The following is a 21937-nucleotide window of genomic DNA, read 5'->3' as shown; positions in this document are numbered from 1 at the left end:
ATTGAATCAATCTCAGTATCTAACACAAGATGAAAGAAAAATTATTCAATATCCTCTCAATAGAACATGAAGAGATCATTTAAAGTCATCATTATAAAGCCTGTGAAGACATTGAAAAACACTTTCTATAATGTTTTTTTAAAAGCAGGACATGAAATTATACATACTTAATATTTACAACCTTCTAAAAATATGTAAACATGGAAAATATTAGAAGAGAATATACAAAAATTACAGCTATTAAGTTGGGGCTGTGAATACTTTCCCAACTTTCTTTCTTCTGAATTTCCAGCAACACTATACAAATACAATATATTCCCTTCACTAATAGGCCTACTTATCTAGAAGCACATTAGATTTAACAAATATTCTTTTGAAGAAAAGCCTGTCTCTCTGGAACCACCGGAAGCTTTTCTTCACTTCCCATGGTCTCTGCCAACCTTAGCCCTGAAAGCACTCTCAGGCCTCACATGGCAGAGTATGGTTACTGCTCTAAGGCCCTCCGATAAATGAAAGGACTTACCTTTTTGAGCTTCAGATTGGTGGCGTTATTGCAATATTTGTACCAGACTGACTTGAGAATGGATGCGAAGGGTGTGACCCCAATCCCTGCTCCCACTAACATCACCACCTCATAGCTGAACACATCTTCACTGGCAGTGCCAAAGGGCCCATCAACCGCTATCCTGAAGGGAAATGGGGAGGAGATAGTTACAGAGATGTCTTGCTCTTCAGAGTGAGATGGGGCACCCATAATTATTGGGGATGTGCAACATGTTAATTCAAATTGGAATAATGTATCTATTGGGTGCTTCCTTCTATGAAATAGCTTTCAAGTAACCAAACTTAGTGCCAACGTTGGGTTTGGAAGTAAAAAGAGAAATATTTGGCTAACCAAAAACATTCGGTAACTCAGAACAAGTTTTTTTTTTTTTTAATCTCCCCACCCCTCTTCACACACAACAACGCCCCCTCCACACACACCCTATGTCTTGCCAGGACATCCCACTCTTGAAATTCTTGCATACGGTGCACCCTGAAGTGAGGATTTGCTGCATCATTACATCTTGTAGATTTAATGTCTCCACTTTTCATTTATCTATTCATTGAGTTATTCAACAAACTCTCAAACCTTTCTTTAGCACCTACTAAGTGCCTTATAGCATGTTAGGCATGCAGGGAAAAGGAGGCAAAGGGGCTAATATATGGCATTTAACCTCAAATAAATTATGCCAATGAAAATTTAAGAATATTTTTGATACACTACAATTATATTTGTTAGGAAAGTTAATATAACTTGGCCTTGACCCTTACATATTTAAAGGAATTTGGGAGTATTTATTTCTAATATTTGATTCAAGGTTTTCATATTTCACATAAGATTTATGAAAATATGCATAAACACACTACACATATGAAACGGTGACCACAGAAATAGCTACCTATATTCTTAGAACCTGTGTGTTTTGTTGGAGACTTAGTAAAACATGGAGGAAGAGGAGCTATTTAGTGCCATTTTTCCTGAACTCATATACGTTGGTAATATGTACTTTTTACTCACTTAGGTAGTTTCCACGCATCTTGAAACTCCTGCTTATCACAGCCACAAGCATTGAACAGCCCCTCTGTCCAGTCCCCAACGATGCGGATATGGATACTAAAGAAGTCTTCCTCAGGGGCGGATGTCAGTGTAAAAGGGTGCCACTCCAGCTTGGACACCTTTGGGCACTTGACAAAAATGTATTGTCCCACTTCCATTTTGAACCCCTTCTTCTTCATCTGTAGCTCGATGGTTTTGAAAGGGTGAGTGACCACCTATAGAATAAAACATATGTCTGGAAATGACATTTTTCCTAAATACTTGCCTTTTTAGTGTCCATATGGATAAAAAACTGAGCTAAATTGGCCCACTTAGATCTCTGCTTTAGGGACAACACAGGAGTTCCTCCAGCAGATGTGTCTGTCACAGGGAATTGCCCTCAGTTGTAGCCCATTACTAATGATGGGCTGATTAAGGGATACTAAGGCCTAGTCCCTTTTCCTTAACTTAGGTTAACTCCAAGAGGCCATCTCAATTTCCACACTCCCTGTAGTATCAGCTGAGGCCACAGTTACAACTAGAAAGAGGATCAGCTTTTCTCTCTCCCCATTCCTGCCTTTCTTACTTCCTTTCCAGGTTTATCTCTTATAGAATTCCTTAGAAACCTTCTGCATGCAGTTATTTCTCAGTCTTTACCAGGGAATCCAACATAAGAAATCAGCCTATTGTGATTTTTTTTTCCTCTCAGAAGTCAAAAAAGTGCTAAAAAATTTACAAAAACTGATGTTTCCTGCTCAGCCTTCCTATCCCCCAAGAGGATGAGAGAGGGCCTTAGTATTAGGTTGGTGCAAAAATTATTGCAGTTTTGCCATATTTTAATGGCAAAAACCGCAATAACTTTTGCACCAACCTAATAGCTGGCCAGAAGAAGGAGATCCCATTGACTAGTTATGTAGCAACATTCCCCAAAACAAGACTAACTAAGTTGGTCTATCTTTGTCCTGAATCACACCTTGAATCTGCCTGATTCCATGCGTTATTTCTACATTTCTCCCTACCTGGGGAGTACACCATCTTTTCTACCCACCCATTGCCATCCTCATCTGTCTACGTACACACGTTTATAACAGCTTTATTCATAATAGCAAAAAACAGGAAACAATCCAAATGTCCATCAACTATTGACTGGATAATTTTTTTAAAAAATAGAACACAGTGAAGAGCAATACAGAAAGTAATATACTGTTTCTTTGATGATTCCTAAGACTTCTAGAAGAACCTTATATGTATAATTAAAGACAAACCAAGGGACATCAAAGGAAAGAAAAATCAATAGAAATAAAATAGCAGCTTCCTAATGTTAACTGATATTGCTGGGCTTTTCTCGAACAGGGAGTTGTGGAAGAGTGAAAAATTCTTTTTTAAAAAAATGTCAAACGTTTCCAGAACTTGTGATTTAAATGCATCTTACATGATAAAAACTATAACAAACTTCCCTTCTGTTCTGAAATAAGGAGTTGTAAAGCTTCATTTTGAAAACAGAAAATTAAAATTATGTTGAAAATTGTTTACCATGTTGCAATTTTGTGTTGTGGAAAAAATTTTTACCATATTACAATTTTGCTATCATAGGCACAAATGAGATGTAACTAAATAAGTGGACAGCATTCTCATTGGAATACTTTTGGATAACATCTTGTTTCTCATATTTATTTATATGAGAAGAAAACAAATATCTATTTTCTTCAAAGGAAAACAAGTTTTCCTTAAAGGTATGTTTAAGAAAAATACTTGTCTGACTCAGTCATCTCTAGTCTAGTAAGGGAAATTTTGCAGCAACTGTTTTTGCTGATCTGTGGGATTGTTCTTATAATGCAATATAAATATCACAAAAGGAGAACTGTTGTGGTTTCCTATATTTCAAGACTTCCAAAGCCAGCTGAACTAACTTTACTATGACCCACCATAGACAGCAAATGAGGAAAGATAGGGTGGAGGACAGGAAGAATTTGTGTGTTTTGCAAAAATAACCCACAGTAGGGTTTTGGCAAATACTTTTTGAACTGAGTTGAATTGAATTAAATTTTATTTGATAAAGATAGACTTTCCTAGTGTTTCCTGAAATTATAACAAGGAGTTCCATTTACATTTATTTAGTTGGATATTTATTTATTTTGTGATGAGAAACAGATTAGAGTTCAGGAAAAGCCACTCTAGACTTGGAATTAGGAGAGCAAATTTGAGAGGCAGCTTATTTACTAACTTGTTGAAATTTTGGGCACTTCAACTTTCCTATTAGATTATTACATACACAGCACAGAAAAGGTGGTAAAGACAACCTGAAAAACTAGCTCAGCCTCAGTGAGACCTACCCTTAGATCTCTGGTTCTTTTGGCATCTGAAAATTTTAAGACTCAATTTATGCCCCTTTGAACTCACCTCTTTTTCTTTTCTGCTCTTAACTAACCAAATAATGCCTCTGTCGCCTTCCCCTCCACAAACACACAGACACACAGACACAAACACACACACACACACACACACACACACACACACACACACACAATGGGTGGGGGAGATTGATGTCCAGAAAGAACTTGGCTTCATTTTAACATCAAAAATGGTAACTTGTAGTTTCCCCAGTTAAAGGCTCAAACATTTGATTATTGAGCTAAGTAAATTGAAATAAATTGTAGGTCTTCTCTCTGTTGTAACATCTGATCAATGATATAGAGGAGTTGGGAAGACTTGTCCATGATATAGTTAGACACTGACCACTAGTAATTACTAAACCAATCAGTACCTTGGTGATGACCACCTTCTGTTGAGATCGCCAAAACCGCACCAACCTCTCACAGAGATACAGAAACATGGGACCCACTATCCATTTCCAAGTCTGTAATCAGAGCAAAAATGAAAATGAGATACATTAAGTGGTAATAGATAACAAAATATTCAGAGGGAGAAAAATTTTAGAAGCCAAGTTAATCTTTGTAGGCTTGCTTAAATATTTGACATTAGATAAATAAATTTCTTCTACAATGGAATATATGAAAATATCTGAAACTAAGATAATTTTGAGCCAGTAAAAGTAAACATTCTCCTTAGTCACAATGGGGAACTGTACTGACAAGATAAAACTTTCCCAAGAGGAACTCCTCACAAGAATGGGATTTCCTCTCAGTGTTGCAACTACAGTTGCAGTAACCCTATAACAAAGCAAGGTTGGTTTCAGAATTAACATTTCTTTAAAGGATAACATTTCAGCAACACAATATTTTTAATGCAACACTGTGATTGCTTTCTCTTAGTTATGTAGTCACAGTGACAAATTTGCAAGATGACAAATTTTATGCAAGAGTTTGGCTGTTTCTCCAATATTCTGAGAAATTCTGGGAGTATGCAATGCACTTGCTGAATGGAGACAAACCTAGAGCTTTTCAGACTTCTTTAGCTATTTCTTGGGTCAGAACATGCAGTGTTTCTGAACACTGGAATTACTCTGTAGCATTATTGGCCATATAAAAACATTGAGGTCAAACAGATCCATCCTGAAACTCAGCCAATTGGACTTCTAGTTTAATACCTAAACTAGCAAAGAATTTTAGACAGCAATATTATCTAAAAAATGACTTTCCGGAATGTATTCTAAGGGGGAAAAGATAAGAGAGTGCTTCCGATAGTCTCACATATAATCTTTCTACTAGATTACTTTTATAGGAAACTTACTGTTGGAAATTGAGAGCACCTGAATCTCTCCATCTTCAGCCAAACTTGAAGAATATTTGCCCCAAATATAAACAATGTTCTGTTGTTGGCCTTTGTTTTAATGGGATAGATATATAAAACAGTCTCAAATCATCTATCTGTTTCCTGAGTGCTACCATGGAGCCCCACTGAATGGAGCCAGATTTGGATATTGCTGCTAGTATACCTAGAAATTCTTTGAGGTAGGTTTCTGCTAAGGTACTAGTACTCTGACTCCAGCTGTCATCGAGGAAATGTGCCTTCCCCTGCCCACAAGAGGATTGGCAATACAGTTCCCTTTTTATCCTTTCTATTGATGTCTGCATGTAGTGGAGCCAATTCACTGATATGTCTGGTTGCTTCCATTAATGGGAAAAGATGCTTAAAGATCCTACGTCTTCATATAGTATGCTGTGTCTAGAGTAAGAGTGCTCCTATGCTAAGAGAGTAGGAAAAAAGAAAGGAGAAAATGGAATGGAAAATTTGCCTTTATGTTATACTGTGCCTAAGGAAAAAAAAATAATCCTCTTCAGAAGCCCTGCACAAATGTTGATTTTTGCCTAGTTTTATACCAATGGCTAGCACAATAACCAACAAAGTATACCATCTGCCAATGGGGAAAATGATATGAAGATTACAAGGCCCACATCTTACTCTATGGAGCAGTGTTATGAGAATACACAAAATGGAACCCTTCAGAGCTCCCAATAGAAGGAAGAAAGTATTTCACCATGTATTTCCTTGGTCACCCTTGCCACACTTCTGCCCACCACATGATGCCATTGGGATGTTGGTATGAACCTCGCCGTCCAGCCTCCTTTATGCCTCATAAACAGAAAACTCCTAATGCCTAAAGGTAGCCTTATGTACCACCTCATCAATTTCCTTTTCAAATTGGAAAGCTGTATAGAAAGTATTATGTGCTGGTATCTGAAGAGGCCCTTTGCTCCTTATAAGTGATTTATTTGAGCTATCCAACTCAGCTCAAGATGGAATCCCAAGTGTCCCCCTAAAAATCATTAGCTGGCGTCGTCATGAAGAAAAGAGATGGAACTTCTTGAACCAAAACAGCACTTCTAAAAACACTATTTTCCCAAGTTTTATATCAGGATGTTAATAACAGAACAATGCAAAGCTTAGTTTTCAAGAAACAATTCTATCCAATAAGTATAGCAGAGAAAAGTAGACACATGTTTTAGCTGTTCCATGACATTTGTAATGGACATCTATATAGATGTATAACATCTGTACATGTTTCTTAGACACAGGTTAAAGATTGTCAGTAATGAAACTGTAATAACAACAATGAATTGTACATACCATAGGAGGGTTTCCAGCAAACTGAGGGATTGGGCATTCCTTTATTTTTCCCCATTCTGAGATTTTTTGTTCACAAACTGTTATATTATGCACAGCCAAACTCTCTGCGGTCTGCCCACGTACAATTCGTCTGGGTGAAAAATGTAAGTCCAGATCATTTAGTAATAGGAAATTAAATTGTTTTATTAAAAGATTCTGCATATATTTTAAGTGCTCTGATGTAGGCCCTGTACTTTTCACTTAAAAGCGATAGCTTATTGCTCCCTCTGAATAGATGAAAGGAAAGAAAATGCATAACACTCAGCAACAGAAAAAATATATGTGCAATTACCAAAGGGATATTTACATGTAACATTATAGAGGGTAAGTGTTGGATCAAATTCTCTTAAGGGAGAATTTCTACTTCTGTCTCAAGTATCATTTTCATTTACAAACAAACAAAAGCAGAAAAATTGCAAATCTAACAGAGTGACTGCTGGCCCCTACAGTGCCTTTGTGCAAATTAGAAAATGGTACCCTTCCTATGAAGATATAAGCAAAGGGCTCAATCATCAAAGTGTGGGCTAACTTTATTGTCCTTGGCCAGGCACCCACTATAGTAGACAACTGAGACAGTCATATACAGTAGCCCTGAAGCTTACAAGAAGTGCCTTATTTGTGGGTTTGGAAATTATCTAAATCAAACCAAATTTTGAAACCAGTTTGAGATACTTAACTATATAGGGATTATAACATTCTCACAGACATCAACACTAATAGTGTGTACCTTGAATTGCTCAGAGCCCATTCATTTCAATTCAATAAATGCTAGTTGAGCAACTACCAAATCATAAGACAATTATTGGTGATAGAGAGAGGAAGGCCCAACGTTGAGTAGACTTCAAGGAACATAAATGACAGCATCTTCAGAATATATAAGAAGAAAAGACACAGAAAACCCATTGTAAAGGTTTGTTTTGGAGACCTAAAATTTATTGTGTCATTTGGTGTATTCTGAGAATGTTTTAATTCAAGTTCATTAACCACTCCTTTCTATCCTTAGGTCTTGGGGAAGAGAATTATCATGTATTGAGCACTTATCATGTGCCAGGCTTGGGGAAAGTCATTTTACACAAATTATCTCAGTTAATCCTCATGACAAGCCTGAGAGGCAAGTATTATTACCCCCATTTTACATGAGAATGTAAATCAGAATGATTTAGTAACTCAAAGCAGAATGTTTTGGTGAAAACAATTGTGTTTTGTGTCAGACAGACTTGGGTTCAAATCTCATTTCTACCCCTTACTAGTTTGGTGGACTCAGGCAAATTATTTAACTTCTTCTGAGCCTCAGTTCCTTCAGCTGTAAAACAGATGTAATAGTACCTCATTAAAGGTTCATTATAATAAGCAATTTGCATGATGTATAAAAAATGCCAGACACAAAGTAAGAGTCCAAAAAATAACTATTAAAGTTCAAAATGCCTAAGTTCCCATGGTAAGTAAATGATAGGAAAATAATCTGATTTTCTCCTTCTCTTCTCAATGCCAGGACCAGGAGTCCAGAAACCTGCATTTTAAACCCAATTCAGCTGCTACGGAGCCATGAGACTGTGAGAAATCACCTAACCAGTGTAAAGAGCAGATTCTCTTCAAGTGGAGAAGGAGATAAACATATCTCCTCTGTCTGCTTCAAAGGAAGATGAGTATCTGCGAAACCATACAAACAGAAAGTGGTGGAATTACTAAATTGGAGAGGGGAAGAAATTATTTCTCTTCTCTAGGATTACCTGAAACACGGGATTATGACTAAGTCCCATTTAAAGATATTTGAGTGCTTTAAGAGAGTCATCAGATTCTTGGTCTCCATTGATTTCTCCATGCTTACAAAGAGTTTATCAGGGGTCACAGTCAGCAAGTAGTTTAAGAATGCAGTGCCCAATGCAGCTTTCCCCACCCTTCCCCTTTTTCACAGTCATGTCTTGGCCACCAACTGGGCTCTGGGCAGAGTGAGTCTTGAGCTTCTACTTCCTCCAACCCTAATTTCCTGGAGCCCTATACCCACCAGGGAACTTCCCCAGGCCTGCCTTTGTGTGCAGGTGGTATGAAACTGCACAAAAAAGGAAACTTGGTATGAAAGAGGATCTCCAATCAGGCAAACTCTCCTAACCACATAGCCAGGAACTGTGTGTCTCTAAGAGAACATTTATCACAGCCTGCTTTAGACTGCCTGGCTCCAATCTCAGCTGGGCCACTTACCAGAGAGGTGGCTTAGGCTGCATATTTTAACATTTTAGCTCCAGGTTTCTTGTCTGCAATTACTATCCCCAAGAAATGGTGATAGTGAGAAATCTATACATTTTGGGGGTTAAAAGAAATATATCATGTCAAACCCTTAGCACAGACCCTTAATAGAAGTTAGCTGCTACTTTCATTATATTAGAATGTTTGAAGGCAACAACCACATATTTTTCCTGCTTGTATTTCCTGCAGTGCCTGAGATAGGTCCTCATACATGGTAGACAACAAATAAATGACTGTGGGCTTAAATCAAAACTTATTGAACTATAACAAACCTCTTCAACTGATTAATCATTAACTCTTCTAGTCTGGAGGTTTGTTTAATTTACTAGTGATTAAACCATAGAGGATATCATTGCAGATGTTCCAGATCCTACCAGTGCTCTCAATATGTTTTATACATTTGCAAAGATACTCAGACTTTGGTGTATTTTTCAAGCTTGCTATATATAACTTCACCATGAATAGCAATTACATGGGTGCATGAAACAAAAATGCCAATGTTGACTGGTTTCTATCAAACTGACCTCTGCTATCCTCTCACATTCCCTTAGCAGACAGGCTAACCACACACAGGCAAGGAGGTCACTGTGCCTCTAATGGAGCATCCTGCCTAGAAATTGAGGGACATGAAATCCTTCACTTCAGAATTTAAACACTCACTCAGCTCCATGGATGGCAAGGCCAATGAAGAAGATCACAAAGAGATGATGTGTGTACCAAAAGACTTCAAAGTAAGACCTCCGGATGGTTTTGGTGGAGGAAGTGATAATTAATATGAGGCACAGCGTGATGACAACTCCAGTGATGCCTGCCAACAGGGTCACAGCCAGGTACAGGCCTCCTTCAGGGTTCTGTAAAATATAAACACACACACACACACACACACACACACACACACACACACACACACATGTGCGCAAGCACAATATTATAGGTTCTCAAATGCAGGACTATTATAAAGTGTCCAATGTATAGAACAATAGATATTTTCACCCCCTCTTTGAATAATCCTAATCATCCCTCACAGACAGATATAGATTTGAAATAGATGTTTCTAAATTTTAAAATGTCTTACATGGTTAAGATGTCATAGGAAATGTGAACTGATGTACTTAAATAGTTATTTCTAAGGGGGTAGAAAATAAAGGAAATCAATCAACTACAGGATGTCCTAAAAGTGTCTGAAGGCTCTTTCTCCCTTTGATTTTGAAAGGGCCACAGTGCTTAGTTTGCAAATATATTCTGGGAATGCTGAACATCATCAGCTGTGCTCCCCAGAAGCAGATCCTGAGATGAGACTTCATGGGCAAGTGACTTAGAAAACATGTGCTCCAAGAGAAACTGGTAAGAGAGTAGGGAATAGGATAGAAAAGACAAACAAGTCAAGCAAGGGGGTGAAATCAGGCAGTCTCACAGGGGATAGCTTCAGCCTGATCCTGCAAGGCAACTCTGGAGGGTAAGTTACAACTTAGAGTTTATCCTGTCTCAAGGCAAGGAAGCCAGGTTTCATAGTCTGCATCCACCAGTTATTGGCTAACGGTTTGCACAGGAACAGGTAACCATTCAGCCACCCCCCACCAACCTTCCAAGATCTCTGAGCCTGTGAGAAAAGGGACTTTAGTAGCCCCAGGGCAGTCCTCTGAGGAGGAAACAGTTACAGGTTATTGAAAATGAAAACATTTAGAAGAGTAGGAGAGCATAGATACAGTAAAAGTGATCCAGGAACAACTGAATAGAGCATGATAGTGTAGATTTACCTAGTTATGTTAATGTTGCCACCCTCATATATCATTGGGCAAACAATGAATAATGTAAAAGAAAAATTACCCAATATATTGTAGAAAAAATCTGTTTTTTATGATGCTGTTTAATTCCCTCCCTAAGTATATCAGGCAAGTTTTTCTCATGTAAGTCTGAGAATAATAATTATTTTTTCCAAAACTAAGGATGTTTTCTAAACACAAGAAAACATTTTTAGAATTCAGTGCATATTAATGTGATTTAGTCATCTTCCCAAGTCATTGGGTGCATGAAGACTTGGAGCTTCTGTCTTTGAGTGTAGGAAGCTTCAACAACTGCTGGGATAGAAGAAGTTCTTACTTCTGGATACCCTCCTGGCTACCCCTAGAGAAATGCTGAGTTACTCCCAGTGCACATGTGCTTCTCAAGGAATGACAATCTGTAGACACAGGCCATCCCTCAGATGTTGTTGGTAAGAAAAGAAAAAGGCATCACACAACTGTCAGCTGGTGGCTGGCCTTACACTAATACTTAGGCCAGGATGTTCCCTACTTCACATAAATAATTTCACAAAACACCAGCTTCTGAGGAGGTCACTCTGTGACTGTGATGGAGTGAGATAAAAGCAAAACCACTCCAAAATCATGTCTGAGCCTAGACAATGACTACTGCTTCTTTGCCTATTATAGACTTAGTCCTATTCTGTTCCCTCTGCCTCCTAGAAAAAATAATTAAGATACCTTATCTGAGAACTACCCCCAATTCCTGACCATAACTGATCCAGAGAAAATCCTTGCATTCTTAAATCCTCCCCCAAACCATCTAACAGAATCCTAAATTCTAAATCCACTTTACATCCCCTTGAGATGCCCAGAGTTCCTCAAGGTGTGAGATTTCTTTTGCTGTAGCAAGTAATAAACCAAACCTTGTTCGACTAGACATGTGTTCCCAGCTTTCTTTGACTGGTGGGCATAGTCACAGGTAAGCCTGAGTTACTCCAGGCTTCACATGCACACATTCTCATGGATGAGCTTAAAGACCTGGAAAACATCTAGAGACCTCCACACATGAGGTGAGGAGTGTGGGAGACATTTTTTTCTATACTCCCATTATTGTAACCTACAGACTTGTCCCTCTGATGGTTAGCCAACTTTTTTTTTTTTTGGCAAAGGAGAGGTCTTCACTCACTGAAATCTAGTCCTCAATTGTAATGGCCTAGAGAATATCTAAGTCAGATAATGAGAGGCTTACCTTTATTCTCTTTCGAGCAAAATTGAGATAACTTTCATTTTGCCTGTCTCCAAGTTCAGAGAGTGCTACTGAATAAGGATCAGAATTATTGACTCGGGCATTCACACACCATTCCACATTAAATAGATGTGCAATGGTGTGAATCGCTGAAAAGGGCAGAGAAGAGAAACAAAGAGAATGAAGGGTATGAACAAATTTATTGTAAGCTGGGTTTCTGGGACAGCCTCTGACTCTATGATAAGCCACAGGGAGACAAAGGGAGGCCCAGGACACTTATAGACAAGAACTGGGTCTCCAGAACCAAGGAGACAAGGCAATTCTAGTGGGTAAGATCCTCTCTAGTTGTGTAATTGTGGGAAAATGACTTAACTCTCTGGTCTTGGTTTCCTAATTTGTAAGATGAAGATGTTGAGCTATATGCTCCTAAAGACTCAATCAAGTTATAAGATTCTACACAATAGCCTTAGTTTCTGAAGGTGTTTAGATATGCTCTCATTATCTCTCTCCATAATATATTTGGGCTCAAACAAGAAAACACTCATGTAGTGAATGCCTAATTGCTGGCCCATTAACCTGACTCTGAAATTACCTCCAGAGAGAGATGACAAATTTGATTGAATTGATACAAACCTATGGCCATAAGGTATGAATCTCTCTGTCTTAAAAATTGCATTCTTTATTAATAAACACTTACATAGGGCTTACTAGATGCCAAGTACTGTTATAAGTACTTCACAATGACTTAATCCTTACATTGACTCAATGATGTAGGTACTATTAATATCAGCTCATCTTACAGGTGAGGAAGCTGGGACATAGACTGCTTTAAAACCTTGTTCAAGGTCATCAAGCTAGGAAGCAGCAGAGTTAAGAATCAAATCCAGTACCTCTGGCACGCAAATATGTGCTCTTAATCCGTACACTATGCCAGTTTCTAACAAGATTTTATCATATATTTCTTTTGAACTATTTATTTGCCACTGCTAAAAAAGCCTGCCAGATCTACTAGTAGAAGAGAAACTCAGTTAAATGCCTGTAATCTAAGCCTATTTTACTCAGGCTAGGAACAGACTTTTTAAGGGCAGAGTACAAGTCTGCTTTATCACTGTGCTTATATATTCTCTGGCACATGAATGATTTGTTGAGTGAATTAGTGGAATTAGATAAGGGTCCCAAATACAGCCCTTCTTGCACTGACACTACCACCCTAATAATTTTAATAATAACATATAATATCTATATACACACATATATATCCATTGTATGGATACATGCAATAACAATAACAATAGTAATAATAATAATGAAGGTATTTAGCTGATAATGACCGTCTTGAGGGATTCTCAATTTATGGGCTATGGCTCCTGTAGGTTTGCTGCAAAAAGTCCACAAATTCACACATGCAACCAAGAACTTTTTTTAGAATAAATAAGTTTTCATGAGTGAATTAACATTTTTGACACTAGAAAGAATAGCAAAGGGTGAGGACACTAGGATTGACTTTTCTGATGGCATATTTTCATTTTTATAGGAAAATCCTGAAATAAAAATGCTTTAAAACCTAAAGGAATAAATCCTAATATTGAAGTGGCAGAAAGTGTGGTAAATACTTTTGAGCAAAACTCATTAAAAAAATACAACATATCCAACCACCACTTAATCTAACTATAAAACTGGTTGATCTCCTATATAAAAAGGTATCTATGAATAGAGGGAACTCCCTGGTTCCAAGTTTTCTTTAATAAACTTACCAGAGTGAAGTGCAATCATCCATGCCACCATTTTATGAAAGGTGAGATTCCTGTCCAGTTGTCTTCGAACTCTTGTTGAGCAGCACTTTGGATTAAGGGGGAAAGAATGGAATAGTAATTGTTAACAGGAAAGCTTGCTATGTGTCAAACATTTGATACATATTATCTCATTTAATTTTCATGACCACCCTGCAAACTGTATCATTATATCTATTTGATAAATGAGGAAACTGAGGTTCAGAGAGATGCAGTCATCTTCCTCAGGTCAAACAGCCAGTAAGTGACATGGCTGGCTTAACTGGTATGTTTTCTGTTCTCATACTGGTGACATAAAGTCTCCTCTGGAATCCATTGCTTAACTGTATAAAAATATAAACTTGTACAAAAAACATATCTAGCTACATAGTTTCTAGTTCTGATTAATTTACTCATTAAACAAAGGATGTAGAAATTAACATCACATACCTCATAGTCAAGTGGGGACACAGACAAGTGAACAGTTCTAGAACAAGTGAATAGTTTTCAAACAACACTGTTCTAGGACATACACACTATGAGAGGAGAAAGAAGGGTACACCTGCCCATGTAGGTGAACAACATCACAGGGGAGATCATTGACCAAATGCTAATAGCCAAAATAACAATAGCTAACATTTACCAAGAGCTTCTGCAACTGTTTTACATGCATTGACTAATTTAATTCTTACATTAATCTTTAATGTAATTGATGTAATATTTAATTTAATTTAATCTTTAATGTAATAATCAAATTAACTCTTTAATTCTTACAATAATGGTACAAGGGAGGTACCATTATTATTACTACATAACAGATGAGAAAACAAAGGGATAGAGAGTTTACCTAGCCTTAGGTCACACAGCTAATAAGTTGCAGAGCTGGGATTTAAACTCAGGCCATCTGATACTAGAGTTTATATAAACATTCTGATATTTCATACTTTACATGATTTCCTTTGGCATTAAAAATACTATTGTACTCAGTATTTTAGTGTATTTGACGAACCTACATATGTTAGAAAATGTGAGTTTGAATCTCAATTCGTGCCAATGCTCAAAGAAAGAAAAAAACTGATTTAAACTGATTTATGGTTGAATTAGAGCTTGGCTCTCCTGAAAACTGGCCAATGTCTTGCTCTGGTTGCTTTGTTCCATAGTCTAAATGCACTGTCACAGAGATTCAGGGAACTTTAAGAACAAGAGAGTGAAGTACCAAAGAAAATTTATGTACTTAAAATATTTGGTTCTAAATGTTTTATTCAATTTAAATATAGGGGTGTTTAATATTTGGCTTACTTATTTTTAATAAAATACTCTGATTTTGTAGAAAATATAATTGCACAGAAAATTGTGCTTACTCCACCATCTATCTCTCAGTTAGCCATAACTAGGGAGGGCAGGAAGTTTAAACCATGAGGTCAGGTTCTTGAAATTACAGAAATAGTAGCAAGGAAGACACTGAGGATTCCAGAAAAAGGAAAAATAAAAAAATTATGCTTTATTGAATTCCTTCTGTGAACTAGGTAGTTTACCCATAATCATTACTCATTTAATGCAACAAGGTAAATCTTAATGTCCTCATTTTACAGGTAAGAAAACTAAAGCTAAAATTGCACATTGGCTGGGATCCAAGTCTATTTGTCTATAAAAGGTTAATGCCCTTTTCTACCAAACCAAATGCAGGAATATAGTCACTATTATTCTAAGTGCCTAGAAACCTGTGACAAGAATTTAAGTGTAAGTATTCTATCCGGAAGGTGGTCATAGAAAACGAGGGTAAAAATGAGACTGGGAAGGAAATTAATGAAGAGTGCATTATTATATCAGCTACCATGATCATATCATATCATTGGGCTCGATCACACCAGGGAACTCTGGGAGACTGTGTAGAACTTATCCCAAAGGGTTTTTTATTCATTTACTTTGTTTGTTTCGTTCTTTGGTTTTTACCTAACGGGTTAAGAAGCTTGGGTGTTCAACCACCAACTGCCATCCATGATTGGCTGAGGGCTGCTCTGAGGGATGCTCTCAGGACATCAATCCCCTGGGATTTCAGGCTTGCCCCAGGAGAAAGCTGAAAGAAAATCCCCAGGCAGAGAGTGAATGATGCTTGCAAAGGGCAGTTGTCGCATGGATTGGAAGTGCCAGTGCTTAGGGAATATGGTGGAGCACCAATGCATTGGTTATAATTAAATGTTCACCAGTGGAGCTGAGCAATGACTCAGACTCTCAAAACAATGGTTTCCTATTTGAAATAAAAACTTGTAAAATACAAATTTTCAAACTTAATGTTTTTGAAATAAAAATTTATTTGTAAAATACATTTTACTGATCTGTTGTTGAAAAGTTGACCATCTTTGTTTTCTTATATAGCCTCCTTGTCTTTTGTGTTCATTACAAGTGCTGAAAATTATTTTCTACTTTGTATTCCTTAAAATTTTGAGGAAATAACTTTTTCCTGTTTCCCAATTGCCATGTTCCTTTATAGTTTATTTATTTATTTATTTATTTATTTTCTTTCTTTCTTTCTTCCTTTCTTTCTTTCTCTTTCTTTCTTTCTTTCTTTCCTTCTTTCTTTCTTTGGCTTCTTAAATTTCAACTTAATTTCCTCTATAGTTTCTGAGAGTCCTTGTGGTAGACAGAATTCTAGAATGACCCCCAATGACTTATATAATCTCCTCCCCTTGAGTTTGGACCTGTGAAAATGATGAGACATCACTCTGTGATTTTGTTACATTATATGGCAAAAGGGATTTTGCAGAGGTAAAGTCCCAAGTTGACTTTAATAGGGAGATTATCTGGGCCAACAAACCCAATCACATGAACTCTTTAAATCTGGGTTTAGAAGTCAGAGATGGAGGAAGTCAGAGATTTGAAGCACTGCTGCTGGTTGGAAGGTGGAGGAGGGCATGTGGCAGGGAATGCAGGAACATCTAGGATTTGAGTGGACCCTAGATGATCACCAGCAAGGAAACAGGGACCTCTAGTGCTACATCTGTAATGAACTGAATTCTGCCAACAAGAATGAGCTTGGAAGAGGGTTTTTACTTAGAGTTTCCAGGTGGGAATTCAGCCCAGAAAACACCTTGATTTCAGTCTTATGATACTCTGAGCAGAGAACCCAGCAACTGGGTGCTGGACTTGTGACCTACAGAACTGTAAACTAATAAACAGGGGTTGTTTTAAGTTATTGTGGTAATTTGTTACACGATAGATGATTGATACAGTCCTTACAGGAGTGGTGAAACTAGGTTGGAGTCCAAAGAATCAGAGAATGAGAATTAGTAGGGTTGGAAAGCAGTACTGAATTACACATTTCAGAGCAAGTTTTGTCTTCAGATATACCTATGTTGGGTCCCAGTCCTCCCACCTAGCCGTGTGACATCGAACAACATACTCAGTCTCCAGTTTCCTCACCTGTATAATTATCATAGTTAGTCCCTCAAATCCCTATTGCATATATTCATTGACAGGTATTTAATCAATATTTGATGTTATTTAGTATCATTATTTAAGTTTTCAGTTAGTAAGGCTGCACTCCCCAGCTAGCAGGTAAGCTTCCTGTGTGAAAAACAGTATGTCATGTACTTAAAAAAATCTTTTAATCATTATTTGGCTGCATAAATGAAGTACATTTTCATGCCCTGGAACTGGAGATGATCATACTAAACCTATAGAGATGAATTTACCCCCATGTCTATACTTGCCACACACTGTTCTTTTCTATTTGTTGACAAATCCTTTTGAAATTTTTTGGGGAAAATTCACTGGCTCCTGCACGCCGAATTTAAAGCAAACGAATATGGTTTTGTTGTGGAACATACACTGTCTTCATAGTCCTATCCTTATCATCATAATCACCATGGATCATAAAAAATGTAAAATAATATATGTTGATGCCCCCTGATAGCTTTAACTGTAGATCCTTAGAGAAAAATTAACTGAAAGCCAGAACAGTGGAGAGATGTGATTGGGAAATACATTGTCCATTCAATGATACTCTGTTTCATCTTAATAGGTAATTTTTAAAAAGCTAGTTAATGTAAAACACATATATTATATTGAAAGGAAAAAGTGAGATTACTAGTAACTAATGGATCAGTGGAGTGGGTCCAACCATCAGGGCACAAATCCCTAATTTTTCCCACCTACCCTCTTTGGTGTGGACAGGAATGGCAAACAAATCCAAAAAGAAGCCACAAGTCATGCTGATACTGGGCTTTTAAGAATACCATCTCCTCACCACTTCCTTAAAAAAGGAGGCGAGACAACCGGTTGGTGGCATAGGAAGGAAGGACTTTACTGTCTGTGACTGCCCATAATTTTTTGTTCCCCATCATCAGGCAGATTGCATTTATATGCTTTGAGTTACTTCTAAATTATTGCCAGCCACTTCCCAATTATCCACGTTGCCATCATGCCCCATAGCTTCCTTACTAACTTACTTTACTTTCTGCCATTGACTTCTAAAGGGAAGTTTCTCTGTTACTGTCACCGGAAGCCTTGCCCGATTTCAATAAACTACCATTCTAATGCAAGGGAGATTATTGAGTCACTTCAGCAGATTTCTATGCTCTATTGAAACTGAGTAAGAAAAAAATATTTCAAGAAAATGGGAAGTGGAACTAAAAAGAAGTACATATTTTATGGGGTGTAACACTTTACAGAAACTCAAAAGCTCTACTTTTTGTACACTTGATCTCACCACACGCACCATCAATGTATCTGATTTAGATATTTATACGCAACTGGGAGAAATTACAAAATCCAACTTTGAATCTACAGAACTCAGGCAAGTAAGTTGACAGTAATATCCACACCTGCTGGCAGTAGAATATCTGATAAATATGAATAACACTACCTTATTTGCATAGCACTGTTTATAATTTGGAAGTTCCATATTTATTCTCTGTCTCTCCTGTTAACACTCTAAGCTCCTTAAGCTCATGGCCTATCTATAACTTAATCTTTACTTACCACATGTCCCCAGTGCTTAGCACATAAATGGCACTCAACAAATATTTATTGACTGACAACTCACTAATTGACAGACTTAAACAATTAATATACTTTTAGACCAACATATGCCTTCTTACATTTGTGTTAGTTGACCTGTTTTTCAACTAAAAAAAAAAACTATGAGACAGAAAGCCCAAGAGACTAGTGCTAGACCACGTGATTAAAGATAGAGGCACACTGAGTGCCTCTGACTCCCAGACTATATAAGGTAACAGATAAAACCTCACCCTCTCACCTTCCTGTTTCTTTCTGATCTTAAGACTAGGACTGCCATCCAGACAGAAATTAGTTTCTGCATGGCAAGTTGGGGGTTTTTAAGGCTTCCTCAGAGATTTTTGTGTGCTGAGCTTCACCCATTCTCCATTTTTCTCAACAAAGCAGTCTGAGAGCCTTTACCCCTACCTTTCCTGGAGTGGTGGGGTGGGCAACCCTGGGGCTTTCTTTCTCTAGGTAACCAGAAGGATTACAAAGCAAAGTTTCAATGATTGAGACCTCTAGAAACTGAATGCAAGTTCGTGGTTATTTTGCTTATATAGTGTCCTACTATTAAGTCCTTGTATTTATAACATCCTTGTCATTTCTAGTCTAGGTTACTTGGCATGCTCAAACACTCATATATATAATGGCTTTCTAGGATCATAATACTGCAACAGCACAATTTCAAGAAGTTTTGGCAGCATGATTTAAAGTGAATGGGCTCTGGGGACACAATGACCTGGGTTTGAATGCCAACACTTCCATTTAATTTTGTTCCCACTTTACTGGTTTGATGTGCAGATTTCATGCGGTGAATTCCATTAAGCTTCAATGAGTGGCAGCTATATGATTTCCAACATTAGTTACAGCACACTCACTCATTTTAATCACAATCACAGAAGAAGTTTTATTAGAAAAGTTCACATTTCAGGTTAGGAATCCCAGAAGAAAGTACATGCTTGATCTATAAAAGAATGTTGCTTGCTGATAGTTTTAAAACATATTCTTTTATATAAAGATCTATGTAGTTATACAGCCAAGCTTCTCTGCGATTTGAAGGGCAGTCTCATTTCATCCCTGTCTTTAGAGACTCTCATGCAGATCTTCCCTCCTGGGTCACAGGAGGCATAAAAGCTGGCATTACAACATGTGCTGCTCATGGGACATGGTGCTCACCGGCAGTGAAATTTGGACTTGTAGACTAACCAAGATTTCTTAACAGGCCATCTTGGTGAAAACATTGCCTGTTTCTCAGGCTTTACTTCCTCTAAATAGAAACTATTCTAATGGGGGTAGGGAGAATAAAAATGAATTGTGTCTCCTTAGAAACAAGGAACTCGCCAGGCAGGTGACTCATGCCTGTAATCCCCACATGTATGGAAGTCAAGGAGGGATGATCACTTGAGCCCAGGAGTTCCAGGCTGCAGTGAGCTATGATCGTACCACTGCACTCCAGCCTGGGTGATAGAGAACCCAACTCAAAAATAAGCTATAGTGCATGGGCTTCATTTAGCAAATGTTCACTGGGCACTTACGATATATTAAACGTTATACTTTACAATAGGTGGCTCATTAATAAAACTTTCAATTGAGTGTAATTTTACCTCTGTGATTTCTTAAATTTGGAAGATTTTTTGGAAATCCTTGTAATCAATGTTTAATACCAAGTACTGTTGTTAGTTTTTGGTTTTGGTTAGCTCTCAGTTTGCAAGACAACATTGCGTAGCATAGAATTTATGGCTTAAGGAAAGGAACCTCATCACAGAATTTTTCAGAGGAAGATATCACGACTCTTTCTGGAACATCTTAAATTGGTTATCAACATTCTTCTTTTTCTGAGGAAGCGAAGGTGTAACAGTTATTTCTGCCAACTTGTACTTTAGATTTGTGAGAGCCCAATTTTGGCAGTTGGTTTAAGATGAAATGGTATTTTGTAAATAGTTAAGTCATAAAATAAAAGCTAAATTATAGCCTCTAGTCCTATATTAGTAAATTGAATGTTATATGTTCTTAAAGAAAAAAATTCTCTGGATCAGCATGAATTTAGTGTAACTAGGAAAAATGAGGCAGAGTTCAAGGCAAGTTATGCTTGTTATTACAGTTTAGTTCACTGCCTCCTTCAAATATTCTGTAATTGCCAAATTAAGCATGAACTCCTCAACTATACATATGCAGTTCTAGTTTACCAGTAAAATCCTACCTCTTTTCTCCAGCCTTATGTCAGGCATCTGCCCTGTACAATCCCTACATTCCCACAAAAGTAGTTTGCTTTCTGCTGTCCTCCATAAGTGATCTCTACTTAATAAGTATTTTTTTCAAAAAGCTTACTATACCTTTTATTTTTTAAAAAAAACCTAGAAGCTACTAGTCATTAATGAACCACGGAATTGGTCCCACCAGGACACCAATCCCTACTTTTTTCCCAGCTACCCTCTTTGGTGTGGTCACAGGTGGCAAAAAAATATTTATAATAATAATACAAAGAGAAGCCAAGGCTATGCCAATTCTTGGCCTTCAAGAATACGATTTCCTCACTATTTCCTGTGCTTCTGTCCATGCCATCTTCTCCACATAGAATGCCTTTCTCTCTCCTTTACACCTCTTAGAAGCTTATTTTTATATACTCATCTCTAATGTCACCTTCTCTAAAATGCCCTTCTTCATTCTCTGCCCCACCTGACACAACTTCTCTCTTGCTTCCCCATAGTATTTTATTTGTAAAGCTTTGTGGAACCCATCATATTTTGCTTTGTATAATATTTATTTGAGTACACTTGTAGATTTTAAGTTCCTTGTTTGTCATCTTTGTACAATAATACTAGTAAGAAATTTGTATACCATTTTATGGGTTACAGAGATTCTTCCTACTTATTTTTTCCCCCTTCTAGCACAGTACATTTAGTGGCTTACTAAATTGTTGGAGTGAGAGTCAAAGGAATTCTGGACATTTAGAAAGCTCTATGCTCCCCAGTTCCATGAAGCCAACACTTCTTGGTTACATTCATTATAGTGTGACTCTGTCCATTGACTCCATCTCCTTGAGATATTATCCACAGAAGATATTTCCTCTGACTTAAATTTTTTTGAATGACACTGAAAGATTAACTCCCAGATATCACATGTCAACTTCCTAAAGCTCTGTATATATGCATATCTATCATATATATATGTGTGTGTGTGTAAACGTGTACGTGTGTGCTACTTCATTGCTACTGTTGAGGTATAGGTGGTTTTGTGTGTTTTTTCAAAATTTGTTTTCCAAATAGTTGTCTTAGGGAGCTCCATCCCCAAA

General features: G+C 37.4%; 1 protein-coding gene across 2 annotated transcripts in view; it reads right to left on the bottom strand.

Annotated features, from left to right (window-relative positions):
• CYBB (cytochrome b-245 beta chain) overlaps positions 1-21937 on the bottom strand; it is a 33403-nt gene that overhangs the window by 7770 nt on the left and 3696 nt on the right. Inside the window, exons 2-9 of one of the 2 annotated variants that reach the window (XM_047441855.1) lie at positions 15601-15724; positions 13633-13717; positions 11882-12027; positions 9551-9741; positions 6608-6737; positions 4344-4436; positions 1562-1815; positions 524-686 (exon numbers count right to left, since the gene is read on the bottom strand). In XM_047441855.1, coding sequence (XP_047297811.1) covers positions 524-686; positions 1562-1815; positions 4344-4436; positions 6608-6737; positions 9551-9741; positions 11882-12027; positions 13633-13663 — 1008 coding nt within the window. In that variant the 5' untranslated portion in view covers positions 13664-13717; positions 15601-15724. The remainder of the gene's footprint in view (positions 1-523; positions 687-1561; positions 1816-4343; positions 4437-6607; positions 6738-9550; positions 9742-11881; positions 12028-13632; positions 13718-15600; positions 15725-21937) is intronic. The other variant, NM_000397.4, reaches the window with a different exon arrangement.

This window comes from Homo sapiens, chromosome X (genome assembly GCF_000001405.40).
Source record: "Homo sapiens chromosome X, GRCh38.p14 Primary Assembly".
NCBI classification, from domain to species: domain Eukaryota; kingdom Metazoa; phylum Chordata; class Mammalia; order Primates; family Hominidae; genus Homo; species Homo sapiens.
Note: the sequence above shows the minus strand (reverse complement) of the source record. Positions and strands in the feature narration are given on the sequence as shown.